This window comes from Homo sapiens, chromosome 22, assembly GCF_000001405.40.
Source record: "Homo sapiens chromosome 22, GRCh38.p14 Primary Assembly".
NCBI lineage: Eukaryota > Metazoa > Chordata > Mammalia > Primates > Hominidae > Homo > Homo sapiens.
Genome location: NC_000022.11, coordinates 46254920 through 46267718, shown reverse-complemented (window position 1 = coordinate 46267718; position 12799 = coordinate 46254920). Strand labels below are relative to the sequence as shown.

General features: G+C 48.1%; 1 protein-coding gene across 1 annotated transcript; it reads left to right on the top strand.

Annotated features, from left to right (window-relative positions):
- Positions 1-4375: 4375 nt before the first annotated feature.
- Positions 4376-12056, top strand: PKDREJ (polycystin family receptor for egg jelly). Its single transcript, NM_006071.2, has one exon. The coding sequence runs from the start codon at positions 4397-4399 to the stop codon at positions 11156-11158; it is 6762 nt and encodes a 2253-aa protein (NP_006062.1). The 5' UTR covers positions 4376-4396; the 3' UTR covers positions 11159-12056.
- The last annotated feature ends 743 nt before the right edge of the window (positions 12057-12799 follow it).

The window sequence follows — 12799 nt, the reverse complement described above, 5'->3', positions numbered from 1 at the left end:
CGTCCCGCCGCCTCCATCCTCCCTTCTCAAGGATTTGCAGCGGAAAAATCGCTCTGTCTCCTGCAGTAGCGGCTTCTCCCTCTGGACTGGCCCGGTCTGGCCCGGCCTGAACTCTGCCATCAGCCACACACCAGCCCCAGTCCAATGGGCTCCCCTAGTTTAATTTGCCCCCGCCCCAGGGTGCACGAATCAAGGGCGTAGAACCAAGTGCACGGGCAGATCTGGCCTTTATTTAAAATGCTATTTTGTTCATCATGGACTTTTTGCATTAGTTTTGATTTTTGAAATATTGCACTGAAGTATTATTTGTTTTATGTGAGAGCTGTAAAGATAAAACTCTTAGAAGAAAACAGAAGTAAATCTTCATGGCCTTGGATTTAGCAATGGATTCTTAGATGTAACACCAAAAGGACAAGCAACAACAACAAAATAGATAAGTTGGACTTCGTCAAAATTAAAAACTTTTCTGAATCAAAGGACACTACTCAGGAAACTGAAAAGATTAACACAATGGGAAAAAACATTTGTAAATCATATATTGGGTAAGAGTCTAGAATCCAGAATACATAAAGAAATCTTGGCCGGGCACAGCAGCTCATGTCTGTAATCCCAGCCCTTTGGGAGGCTGAGTCAGGTGGATCACCTGAGGTCAGGAGTTCAAGACCAGCCTGGCCAACATGGTGAAACCTTATCTCTATTAAAAGTACAAAAATAGCCAGGCGTGGTGGTGCATGCCTGTAATCCCAACTACTTGGGTGGCTGAGGCAGGAGAATCGCTTGAACCCGGGAAGTGGAGGTTGGAGTAAGCCAAGATTGTGCCACTGCACTCCAACCTGGGCAACAGAGCCAGACTCTGTCTCAAAAAAAAAGAATTCTTACAACTCAACAGCGAAATGACAAACAGCCCAAATTTAAAGTGGGCAAAGAATTTGAGGTGACAGTTCTCCAAAGAAGACACACCTTTCCTACAGCGTTTTCAAGGTTCATTCATACTGAAGGAAGAGGCAGACACAAAAGGTAACACTTGTATTAGTGCATTTACATGCATGTCCAGAATACGCAAACATAGAGACAGAAAGAAGATTGGTGGTGACCAGGGACTGAGGGGATAGGGATGATAAGTCACTGAAGCCTTGAACTCCTGGCTCCAGCAATCCTCCCACCTCAGCCTCCCATAAATGGTTACTTTTATGTGAACTTTACCTCAATAAAAGAGAATTTGTCTTGATTATTGAGTTTTTGGTGCCCCTCCACCCTTAAATTTTGCACTTGAGCTGAGTACTAATATGGACTAATACAGTAAATTGGTACCATTAGAGTGGGGTGTTGCCAAAAATATACCTGAAAATGTGGAAGCAACTTTGGAACTGGGTAACAGGCAGAGGTTGGAACAGTTTGGAGGGCTCAGAAGACAGGAGTATGTGGGAAATTTTGGAACTTCCCAGATACTTGTTGAATGGCTTTGCCCAAAATGCTGATAGTGATATGGACAATAAGGTACAGGCTGAGGTGGTCTCAGATGGGGATGAGGAACTGGAGCAAAGGTGATGCTTGTTATGTTTTAGCAAAGAGACTGGCAGCATTTTGCCCCTGCCCTAGAGATTTGTGGGACTTTGAACTTGAAAGAGATGATTTAGGGTATCTGGCAGAAGAAATTTCTAAGCAGCAAAGCATTCAAGAAGTGACTTGGATGCTGTTAAAAGCATTCGGTTTTAAAAGGGAAACAGAGCATAAAAGTTTGAAAAATTTGCAGACCGAAAATGTGATAGAAAATTCCATTTTCTGAGGAGAATTCAAACCAGCTGCAGAAATTTGTATAAATAACAAGCAGCCAAATGTTAATCCCCAAGACAATGGGGAAAAGGTCTCCAGGGCATGTCAGACGTCTTCATGGCAGCCCCTCCCATCACAGGCCTGGAGGCCCAGGAGGAAAAAGTGGTTTTGTGGGCTGGGCCCAGGGTCCCCAAGCTGTGTGCAGCCTAGGGATTTGGTGCCCTGTGTCCCAGCTGCTCCAGCTGTGGCTGAAAAAGGCCAATGTAGAGCTCGGGCTGTGGCTTCAGAGATTGCAAGCCCCAAGCCTTGGCAGCTTCCATGTGGTGTTGAGCCTGCAGTTGCACAGAAGTCAAGAATTGAGGTTTGGGAACCTCTGCCTAGATTTCAGAAGATATATGGCAACACCTGGATGCCAGGCAGAAGTTTACTGTAGGGGGAAGGCTCTCATGGAGAACCTGTGCTAGGGCAGTGTGGAAGGGAAATGTAGGGTTAGAGCCCCCACACAGAGTCCCTACTGGGGCACCGCCTAGTGGAGCTGTGAGAAGAGGGCCACCATCCTCCAGACCCTAGAATGGTAGATTCACCAACAGCTTGCACCATGAGTCTAGAAAAGCTGCAGACACTCAACACCAGCCCACGAAGGCAACCAGGAGGGAGGCTGTACCCTGCAAAGCCACAGGGGCGGAGCTGCCCAAGACCATAGGAACCCACCTCTTGCATCAGCATGAGCTGGATTTGAGACATGAAGTCAAAGGAGATAATTTTGGAGCTTTAGGATTTGACTGCCCCACTGGATTTCAGACTTGCATGGGCCCTATAACTCCTTTGTTTGGCCAATTTCTCCCATTTGGAATGGTTGTCTTTACCCAATGTCTGTACCCCACTGTATCTAGGAAATAACTAACTTGCTTTTGATTTTTTTTCTGTTTTTTGAGACAGAGTTTCGTTCCTGTTGCCCAGGCTGGAGTGCAATGACACGATCTTGGCTCACCGCAACCTCTGCTTCCCGGGTTCAAGCGATTCTCCTGCCTCAGCCTCCCGAGTAGCTGGGATTACAGGCATGCACCACCACACCCGGCTAATTTTGTATTTTTAGTAGAGATGGGGTTTCTCCATGTTGGTCAGGCTGGTCTCAAACTCCCAAGCTCAGGTGATCTGCCCGCTTCAGCCTCCCGAAGTGCTGGGATTACAGGGTGAGCCACTGCGCCCAGCCAGTTGCTTTTGATTTTACAGGCTCATAAGCATAAGCGACTTCCTTTGTCTCAGACAGGACTTTGGACTGTGGACTTTTGAGTTAATGTGAAATGAGTTAAGACTTTGGAGGACTGTTGGGAAGGCATGATTGGTTTTGAAATGTGAGGAGATGAGATTTGGCAGGGGTGGAATGATATAGTTTGGCTCTGTGTCCCCACCCAAATCTCATCTTATAGTCCCATAATTCCCACATGTTGTGGGAGGGACCGGGTGGGAGATAACTGAATCACAGGGGCAGTTTCCCCCATATTGTTCTGTGGTAGTGAATAAGTCTCAGGAGATCTGATGCTTTTATCAGGGGTTTCCGCTTTTGCGTCTTCCTCATTTTCTCTTGCCACTGCCATGCAAGAAGTGCTTTTTGCCTCCTGCCATGATTCTGAGGCCTCCCCAGCCATATGGAACTGTAAGTCCAATTAAACCTCTTTTTCTTCCCAGTCTTGGTTATGTCTTTATCAGCAGCATGAAAACGGACTAATACAGGGGAGGGCCAATTAAGACCACGAGTTTGAGACCAGCCTGTGAAACACAGCAAGACACCATCTCTACAAAAATAAAAAATAAATCAGTCAGGTGTAGTGGTGTAGACCTGTAGTATGGGAGGCTGAGGCAGGAGGATTCCTTGAGCCCAGGAGTTCAAGGTTACAGTCAGCTATGATTGCACCATTGCACTCCAGCCTGGGCAACAGAGCAAGACCCTGTCTCTAAAATCATTCAATCCATCAATCAAGTCCCAAAATATACAGCAAAAATGGACAGAGTTAAAGAATGAGGCCAGGCACAGTGGCTCATGCCTGTAATCCCAGCACTTTGGGAGGCCGAGGTGGGTGGATCACTTGAGGTCAAGCCATTGCACTCCAGCCTGGGTGACAGAGACTCCGTCTCAAAAAACAAACAAACAAACAAACAAACAAAAAACAAAACCCCCAAACCAACTAGAAAGAAAAGAGCAAAGCGACCCCAAAGTAAGAAACCGAGAGTCAGACCTTCCTGGGCGCCCAGGGATCTCACGGTTCCCTCCTGATCTCCCATTTTGTGACTGGCTTTCCCAAGGGTTCCTGCTGAAGCCCCTTCTCCGTGGTCAGCTCTGTGGTCTGCACGGGGCTGAACTGCCCTCCTGAGCCATCCTGACCCTGGGCCTGCACACACTTGGGGACGGAGAGGGAAGAGGTACCCAAGAAGTCCCCAGTGCCGACTGACCCCAAGCTCCGAGGTCCCAGCTGCTCTCTGGGACTCTGTCCCTGGGACCCCTCTGCCAGCGCCCTTCGACGCCCGAGACCCCCACTGTCCCCAAGACCCTCACTATCCCCGCGACCCCGGTGGCGGTTGGGCGCGCCTCGCGGCCTCTCCCAGCTTCTCCTGGGCCGGCGCCATGAGGCCTGGGCCCGCTCTCCTCCTTCTGGGCGTGGGCCTGAGCCTGAGCGTCGGCCGCCTCCCGCTGCCGCCGGTTCCTCGCGGGGCACAAGCCGCCGTCTCCGGGGCGCCCGGTGGCCTCCTCAGGGGCGCCCCGGGCCTCGGGGTGCGCGGCGGCCGCGCCCTCCTCAGTCTGCGGCCCAGCGCGGTGCGGGCGGGCGGCGCTGTCCTGAGCGGCCGCGGCAGCCTCTGCTTCCCCCATGGCGGGACCGGGCGGCGCTGGTACTGCCTCGACTTGCGCGTCCTGCTCAGCGCCCAACGCCTGCCCTGGCCGGCCGCGCCCGCGCTCGCGCTCGTCGACCTGCAGCTCTCCGCGCGCGGCGGCCGCCTCTCCCTGACGTGGTCCGTGCGGCTGCCGCGCTCGCCCGGGCGCCTGGCCTGGGCCTTCCGCCTGCGGCTGCTCGGACCCGGCGCCGCCCGCCCGGCCTCCCCCGCGGCCCGCGTCTCCCCGCGCTCCGCCGCGCCAGGCCCGCGGCCCCAGCAGGGCTTCGTGGCCCGCACCGAGTGCCCCACAGACGGCCCCGCGCGCGTGATGTTGCAGGCCGTCAACTCGTCCAGCCACAGAGCCGTCGAGTCGTCCGTGTCCTGTCAGATAAACGCCTGCGTCATCCAGCGCGTGAGGATCAACACGGACCAGAAGGGCGCCCCCGTGCGCCTGAGCATGCAGGCGGAGGCCACCATCAACGCCTCGGTGCAGCTGGACTGCCCGGCCGCGCGCGCCATCGCCCAGTACTGGCAGGTGTTCTCCGTGCCCGCCGTGGGTCAGGCGCCCGACTGGACGCAGCCCTTGGATCTGCCCCAGCTCGAGATCAGGAACAGCCCCTTGTTCATTCACATCCCCAATAATTCGTTACAGTGGGGAGTGTATGTGTTTAATTTCACGGTGTCCATCACCACAGGGAACCCCAAGATGCCCGAGGTGAAAGACTCGGACGCCGTCTATGTCTGGATCGTCAGGAGTTCCCTGCAGGCGGTGATGCTTGGCGATGCCAACATAACAGCTAATTTCACAGAGCAGCTGATTCTGGACGGGTCCACGTCCTCGGACCCAGATGCGGACAGCCCGTTACAGGGACTCCAGTTCTTTTGGTACTGTACCACAGATCCCAGAAACTACGGTGGGGATCGAATAATCCTGGGGAGCAAGGAAGTCTGTCACCCCGAGCAGGCCAATCTGAAATGGCCCTGGGCCTCGGGCCCTGTACTGACACTTTTGCCAGAAACACTTAAAGGCGACCACGTGTATTTCTTCAGAATGGTGATTCGGAAGGACTCTAGGACAGCGTTTTCTGATAAGAGGGTCCACGTGCTCCAAGGACCAAAAGCCATAGCACACATCACATGTATCGAAAATTGTGAGAGAAACTTCATTGTCTCTGATAGATTTTCTTTGTTCCTAAATTGCACAAATTGTGCAAGCCGTGATTTCTATAAATGGTCAATTTTGTCTTCTTCAGGTGGTGAGATGCTATTTGATTGGATGGGGGAAACTGTAACAGGAAGGAATGGTGCTTATCTGTCTATAAAAGCTTTTGCTTTTCGGCATTTTTTGGAAGCTGAGTTTTCGATTTCTCTGTATCTAGCATGTTGGAGTGGAGTGACCTCGGTCTTCAGGCATTCTTTTATTATTAACCATGGCCCTCAGATCGGAGAATGCAAAATTAATCCAGCTAAAGGAATTGCACTTATTACTAAATTTGTTGTCCAGTGTAGTAATTTTAGGGATAAGCACGTCCCTCTTACATATAAAATAATTGTTTCTGATTTGCACAGTGTTGGTGAAATCAGTTCAGTAAAAGAGAACACCCTGGGGACCATCCTGTACTTGGGGCCTCAGTCCACAGTACCCCCTTCCTTTCTCCCTGTTGGTATGTTGGCTAGTCAATATGGCTTGAAGATATATGCCCAGGTCTATGATTCTCTAGGAGCTTTTTCTCAGGTGACTTTGCATGCCACCGCACAGGCTCCCACTGACAAAAATTCATCAAAGACAGTGTTGAATCAGTTACTCAGTTTCACCGTGGGACCAAGTTCATTGCTGTCTACTTTGATTCAAAAGAAGGATTTTTTACCTGCAGGTTACTTACTGTATATAGTAGCTTCCGTTTTGAATAACATGAAAACTGAATTACCTCTCCGAGATGACAGAGTCAATCTCCGAAAACACCTCATCGATCAGTCTTTCCTTCTTCCTGTAAGCACTTTGGTAGAAATTGGCCAGGTAGTCATGACTATTACCAAATTAACCCAGAAACCCTCTGAATTCACTTGGGATGCTCAGAAACGTGCCACCATGAGGGTATGGCAAGCAAATCAAGCCCTACAAGAGTATCAGCAAAAAGATAAACGCTTTCGATCTGAACAAATAGAAATCGTGAGTACTGGAATACTAATGAGTTTGTCTAATATTCTTAAAATGACTTCTCCTCACCAAGTAGTTAAAGATCCTTTCTATGTAATAGAATCTCTATCAGACACAATACTGGCTAATAAAGTGCCAGGGAACAAAACCACCTCAATGAGAACCCCCAATTTCAACATGTATGTCAAGAAAGTTGAAAAGTGGGGTATCAACCAGCTCTTCAGAAATGAGAAACACTGCAGAAATTGTTTTTATCCAACACTCAATGTGAGCAGTGTTCCTGGTCTGTCTGCAAATGGTCCCATTTCTACAATGTTTTGTGATTTCACAAATGACCTCTTTCCTTGGTTAAATGATCAGGAAAACACTTCGGTGGAGGTGTCTGGATTCAGAATGACAGGAGTTGCAGATAACGGTAGTGTGCTAGAGATCACACCTGATGTAGCGGAAGTGTACCTTGTCAGGAAAAACTTGACCTTTGCAGCTTTTAATCTCACAGTGGGACCCAACAGCGAGGTTGATGGGTCCTTGAAGAAGACGACAGGTGGGTTTAGCTTTCAAGTGGACAGCACAGTGCTTAGGGAGGTTCTGGTCCACATAGTAACAGAAGTGATGGTGCTGTTCACAGTGTTGGTGTACACAGGCAGTCAGATCACTCCCACAGCGCTGGTCGCCACCTTCCTGGTGCCTCATGACATCCCTCCATTTGCCAGCCAGAGTGCCCTGTTTGACCCAGCCTGCACAGTGAAGAAGGCCCGTGTAGTCTGCCTCCCTGTGTCCCTGCTGCAACTCATAGCTCAGCACAGCCACTCTCCCCACTGTACTGTATCCATAGTTCTGCAGGCACCTCGTTTTGTCATGAAGCTCAATGACAAGCTAGTGAGAATTTCTATTTTCAGCGTCCAGTGCTTGGACATGTATGGGATCCAGAGTGAATGGAGAGAGGGTTATTGCATTCTTGGTGAGAAGACCAGCTGGTATGAGGTGCACTGCATCTGCAAGAATGTAGTAAGGGCTAGGCGGCAGCTGGGCACAATCGGACTCACGGGCATTCACCTGCATACCCACTATGTGATGGCCAAGGTGATTGTGATCCCTAATCCTGTGGATCTACGGTTAAACATCATCAAGAGCCTTCACCAAAACCCCGTGACCCTCTTCACTGTGCTTTTCATTATTCTCTTATACGTGGGCCTAGCTTTTTGGGCTTTATACAGGGATGAAATGGACCAGCATCTTCGGGGGCATGTGATAGTTCTACCAGATAATGATCCTTATGATAATTTATGCTACTTGGTGACTATTTTTACAGGAAGTCGTTGGGGGTCTGGGACCAGGGCCAATGTCTTTGTGCAACTTAGAGGAACTGTGAGTACCAGCGACGTGCATTGTTTAAGCCATCCACATTTCACAACTCTCTACCGAGGTAGCATCAACACTTTCCTCCTAACGACAAAAAGTGACTTGGGGGACATCCATTCCATCCGTGTGTGGCACAACAACGAGGGTCGATCGCCTAGCTGGTATTTAAGTAGAATCAAAGTGGAAAATCTGTTTAGCAGGCACATTTGGCTGTTCATATGCCAGAAATGGCTTTCTGTTGATACCACTTTGGACAGAACATTTCACGTTACCCATCCAGATGAGCGTCTGACTAGAAAAGACTTTTTCTTTATAGATGTGAGTAGTAATCTCCGGAAAAACCACATGTGGTTCTCTATTTTTGCTAGTGTTGTTGCTAAAACATTCAATAGGCTCCAGAGATTGTCCTGTTGTTTAGCAATGTTGCTTAGCTCTCTTCTTTGTAACATTATGTTCTTTAATCTAAATAGACAAGAACAAACTGAGTCAAGAGAGAGGAAATACATGAGATCAATGATGATAGGAATTGAAAGTGTCTTAATTACAATCCCTGTGCAATTATTAATAACTTTTTTGTTCACCTGTTCCCAGAGGAAACCTCAAGCGGATCTAAAGGAGGTATCTCCTCAAAAGCATCCTCTAATGTCAGAAGCAAGTGAGCACTGGGAAGAATACTTGAGAAAGTGGCATGCTTACGAAACTGCTAAGGTGCACCCCAGGGAGGTTGCAAAACCTGCATCTAAAGGAAAGCCCAGGCTTCCAAAGGCTTCTCCTAAGGCAACCTCCAAACCCAAGCACAGGCATAGGAAAGCACAAATCAAGACCCCGGAGACCCTCGGGCCAAATACAAATTCCAATAACAACATAGAAGATGATCAGGATGTCCATTCCGAACAGCACCCTTCCCAAAAGGATCTCCAGCAGCTTAAGAAAAAGCCCCGGATCGTCCTACCTTGGTGGTGTGTTTATGTTGCATGGTTTTTGGTTTTTGCTACTTCTAGCATATCCTCATTCTTCATTGTATTTTATGGACTGACTTACGGCTATGACAAGTCAATAGAATGGCTCTTTGCATCTTTTTGTTCATTCTGTCAGTCAGTTCTTCTGGTGCAGCCATCTAAAATTATACTCCTGTCAGGCTTCAGAACGAATAAACCCAAGTATTGCAAAAACCTTTCATGGTCAACCAAGTATAAATATACTGAGATCAGGTTGGATGGAATGCGTATGCATCCAGAAGAAATGCAGAGGATACATGACCAGATCGTCCGAATCCGAGGCACGAGGATGTACCAACCCCTTACAGAAGATGAAATCAGAATATTCAAAAGAAAGAAGAGGATCAAGAGAAGAGCACTCCTGTTTCTGAGTTACATTCTAACTCACTTTATCTTTCTAGCCCTTCTGTTGATCCTTATCGTCTTACTACGTCACACTGACTGCTTTTACTATAACCAGTTTATTCGTGATCGGTTCTCTATGGATCTTGCTACTGTGACTAAGCTGGAAGACATCTATAGATGGCTAAACAGCGTGCTGTTGCCTTTGTTACACAATGACCTGAATCCAACATTTCTTCCTGAAAGCTCGTCTAAAATCCTTGGCCTTCCATTGATGAGGCAAGTGAGAGCAAAATCTAGTGAAAAAATGTGTCTACCTGCCGAAAAGTTTGTGCAAAACAGCATCAGAAGAGAAATTCATTGTCACCCCAAATATGGCATTGACCCAGAAGACACAAAAAACTATTCTGGCTTTTGGAATGAAGTTGATAAGCAGGCTATAGATGAGAGTACCAATGGATTTACTTATAAGCCTCAAGGAACGCAATGGCTATATTATTCCTATGGACTACTACACACCTATGGATCTGGAGGATATGCACTCTATTTTTTTCCAGAACAGCAGCGGTTTAATTCCACACTGAGGCTCAAAGAACTTCAAGAAAGCAATTGGCTGGATGAGAAGACATGGGCTGTGGTTTTGGAATTAACAACTTTTAATCCAGATATAAATCTGTTCTGTAGCATTTCGGTCATATTTGAAGTCTCTCAGTTAGGAGTTGTCAACACAAGCATATCTCTGCACTCTTTTTCACTTGCTGATTTTGACAGAAAAGCTTCAGCAGAAATCTACTTGTATGTGGCCATTCTCATTTTTTTCTTAGCCTACGTTGTTGATGAGGGTTGTATCATTATGCAAGAAAGAGCCTCCTATGTGAGAAGTGTGTATAATTTGCTCAACTTTGCTTTAAAGTGCATATTTACTGTGTTGATTGTGCTCTTTCTCAGGAAACATTTCCTGGCCACTGGCATAATTCGGTTTTACTTGTCGAACCCAGAAGACTTCATTCCCTTTCATGCAGTTTCTCAGGTAGATCACATTATGAGGATAATTTTGGGTTTCCTGTTATTTCTGACAATTTTGAAGACCCTCAGGTATTCCAGATTCTTCTACGATGTGCGCCTGGCTCAGAGGGCCATCCAGGCTGCCCTCCCTGGCATCTGCCACATGGCATTTGTTGTGTCCGTGTATTTCTTCGTATACATGGCTTTTGGTTACCTGGTGTTTGGTCAGCATGAATGGAACTACAGTAACTTGATTCATTCCACTCAGACAGTATTTTCCTATTGTGTCTCAGCTTTCCAGAACACTGAATTTTCCAATAACAGGATTCTGGGGGTCCTGTTCCTCTCATCTTTCATGCTGGTGATGATCTGCGTCTTGATCAACTTATTTCAGGCTGTAATTCTGTCTGCATATGAGGAAATGAAGCAGCCCGTGTATGAGGAGCCATCGGATGAAGTGGAAGCAATGACCTATTTGTGCCGTAAGCTGAGAACCATGTTCAGCTTTCTGACCTCGCAATCTAAGGCCAAAGATGAGCCTGAGTTCTTTATTGACATGCTGTATGGGCAGCCAGAGAAGAACAGCCACCGTTATCTGGGGCTGAAGACCAGAAACATCAACGGGAAGAAAATGGTTTACCTTGTTGTTTGATGAATGATGGTTTCATGAGTCACAAGCAAGCGTTCCCCCAACTGCTGAGTCTGTGGGATTAAGGGGATTAGGGAGTGTCAGTGGCCTAGTCATGCTTTCTACTCATGTCCTTCACAAGGCACATCCCCTACATTTGGAAGAATCCCCAATCTTGTCCTCTGCTCTTGGGAGTGTAAAAGTTGGGAGTGTAGTGTAGCATCTGGGGAGACAGCAGGATCACAGTGTGGGATTCCTGGACTGATTTCCCTTTAGAGGGGAGTTATGTGACTCCCCGTACAAGGGCAACCCTGTTTCTTTGGTGCCTGCAGTTTAGAGAAGGCAGAGCCACTGGTTTTGAGAACCAGATTTGAGAGAGGGACCTGGCCAGGGTGGAGCATTGTCTGGGTGTTTCTGCGCTTGACCCATGCTGGAAGCTAATGGCCTGTTGCTCCTGACAGAGCCCCAAACTCCTCGGCCTCACTGGGAGGCCCCTTTGTAGACCAGGGCTCCCCTCCTCTTGTTCCCCCTGGGCTTAGGGCCTCGTGGGGAGTTCCAGGACTTGCTTCATGCTTGAGAATGCAGATGTGGTGCTTCTCATTTATTCTTAAAGCTACTGGTAGTTAAAGTAAAATTCAGTAACATTTTCTGACCAAGAGACATGTTTTGTTAAACAACAAAAAGGTACATATGGGTTCACATTGAAATATGTCTATATGCTGAATATAGCAACATATGCATCTAAGATTTGGGCATTTGGTTATTAATAGCGTGCTGGACTATTCAGGAATAAGGAAAATGTGGTTTATCACTTAAGAGAAACAAGGGCTGGTAGCTGTACTATTTTCACTCAGAAGCATGTTCATTTATGTAGATGCCACTTTAAGCTTTATCAGAATTAAATGTGAGATTTCTTCTTTGAGCCTTGCAGTGATTTCTGTGTGAGGGGCATATACACACATAGCTGCTGCCCTCAAAGTGGAGTCCCAGAAAAGGGGGACAACCAAATGAGATGGGTGGCTGCTTTATACACACCTCGGTGTCCATCATCCTCAGCTGCACTGAAATGGCCATAGCACACTAGGCCCCTGCAGACACACGTCGATTCCTTCCATCGTTTCCTTCAACGGGATGCCTAGACCTGGGCAGAATGTAGTTCTGTCTCACCTGTTGCCAGGTGGGAAGATGAAAAGGTCTCATGATTCACCCAAGGCTGCACACAGTTAGCAAGGGTCAGAAGGTCACATGGGGGCTGGGCGCAGTGGCTCACGCCTGTAATCCCAGCAATTTGGGAGGCCGAGGTGGGCGGATCACTTGAGGTCAGGAGTTCGAGACCAGCCTGGCCAACATGGTGAAACCCCGTATCTACTAAAAATACAAATATTAGCCAGGCATGGTGGTGGGTACCTGTAGTCCAGGTACTCAAGGGGCTGAGGCAGGAGAATCACTTGAACCCAGGAGGCAGAAGTTGCAGTGAGCTGAGATCTCACCACTGCACTCCAGCCTGGGCAACAGAGCGTGACTCTATCTCAAAACAAACAACAAAAAAAGTCAGATGGGGATTTTCTAACTCCCTTGGTGGGAAGGCCATGGGAGTGGCCTGGCCCACACTGGCCCACTGGTTCCGACTGGGGCGCATGTTCTTGAGATAGCACCTCTCTTAAC

What these genes read in the sequence shown, in the direction of transcription:
- PKDREJ (NM_006071.2), top strand. Translation starts at nt 4,397, where the DNA reads ATGAGGCCTGGGCCCGCTCTCCTCCTTCTGGGCGTGGGCCTGAGCCTG.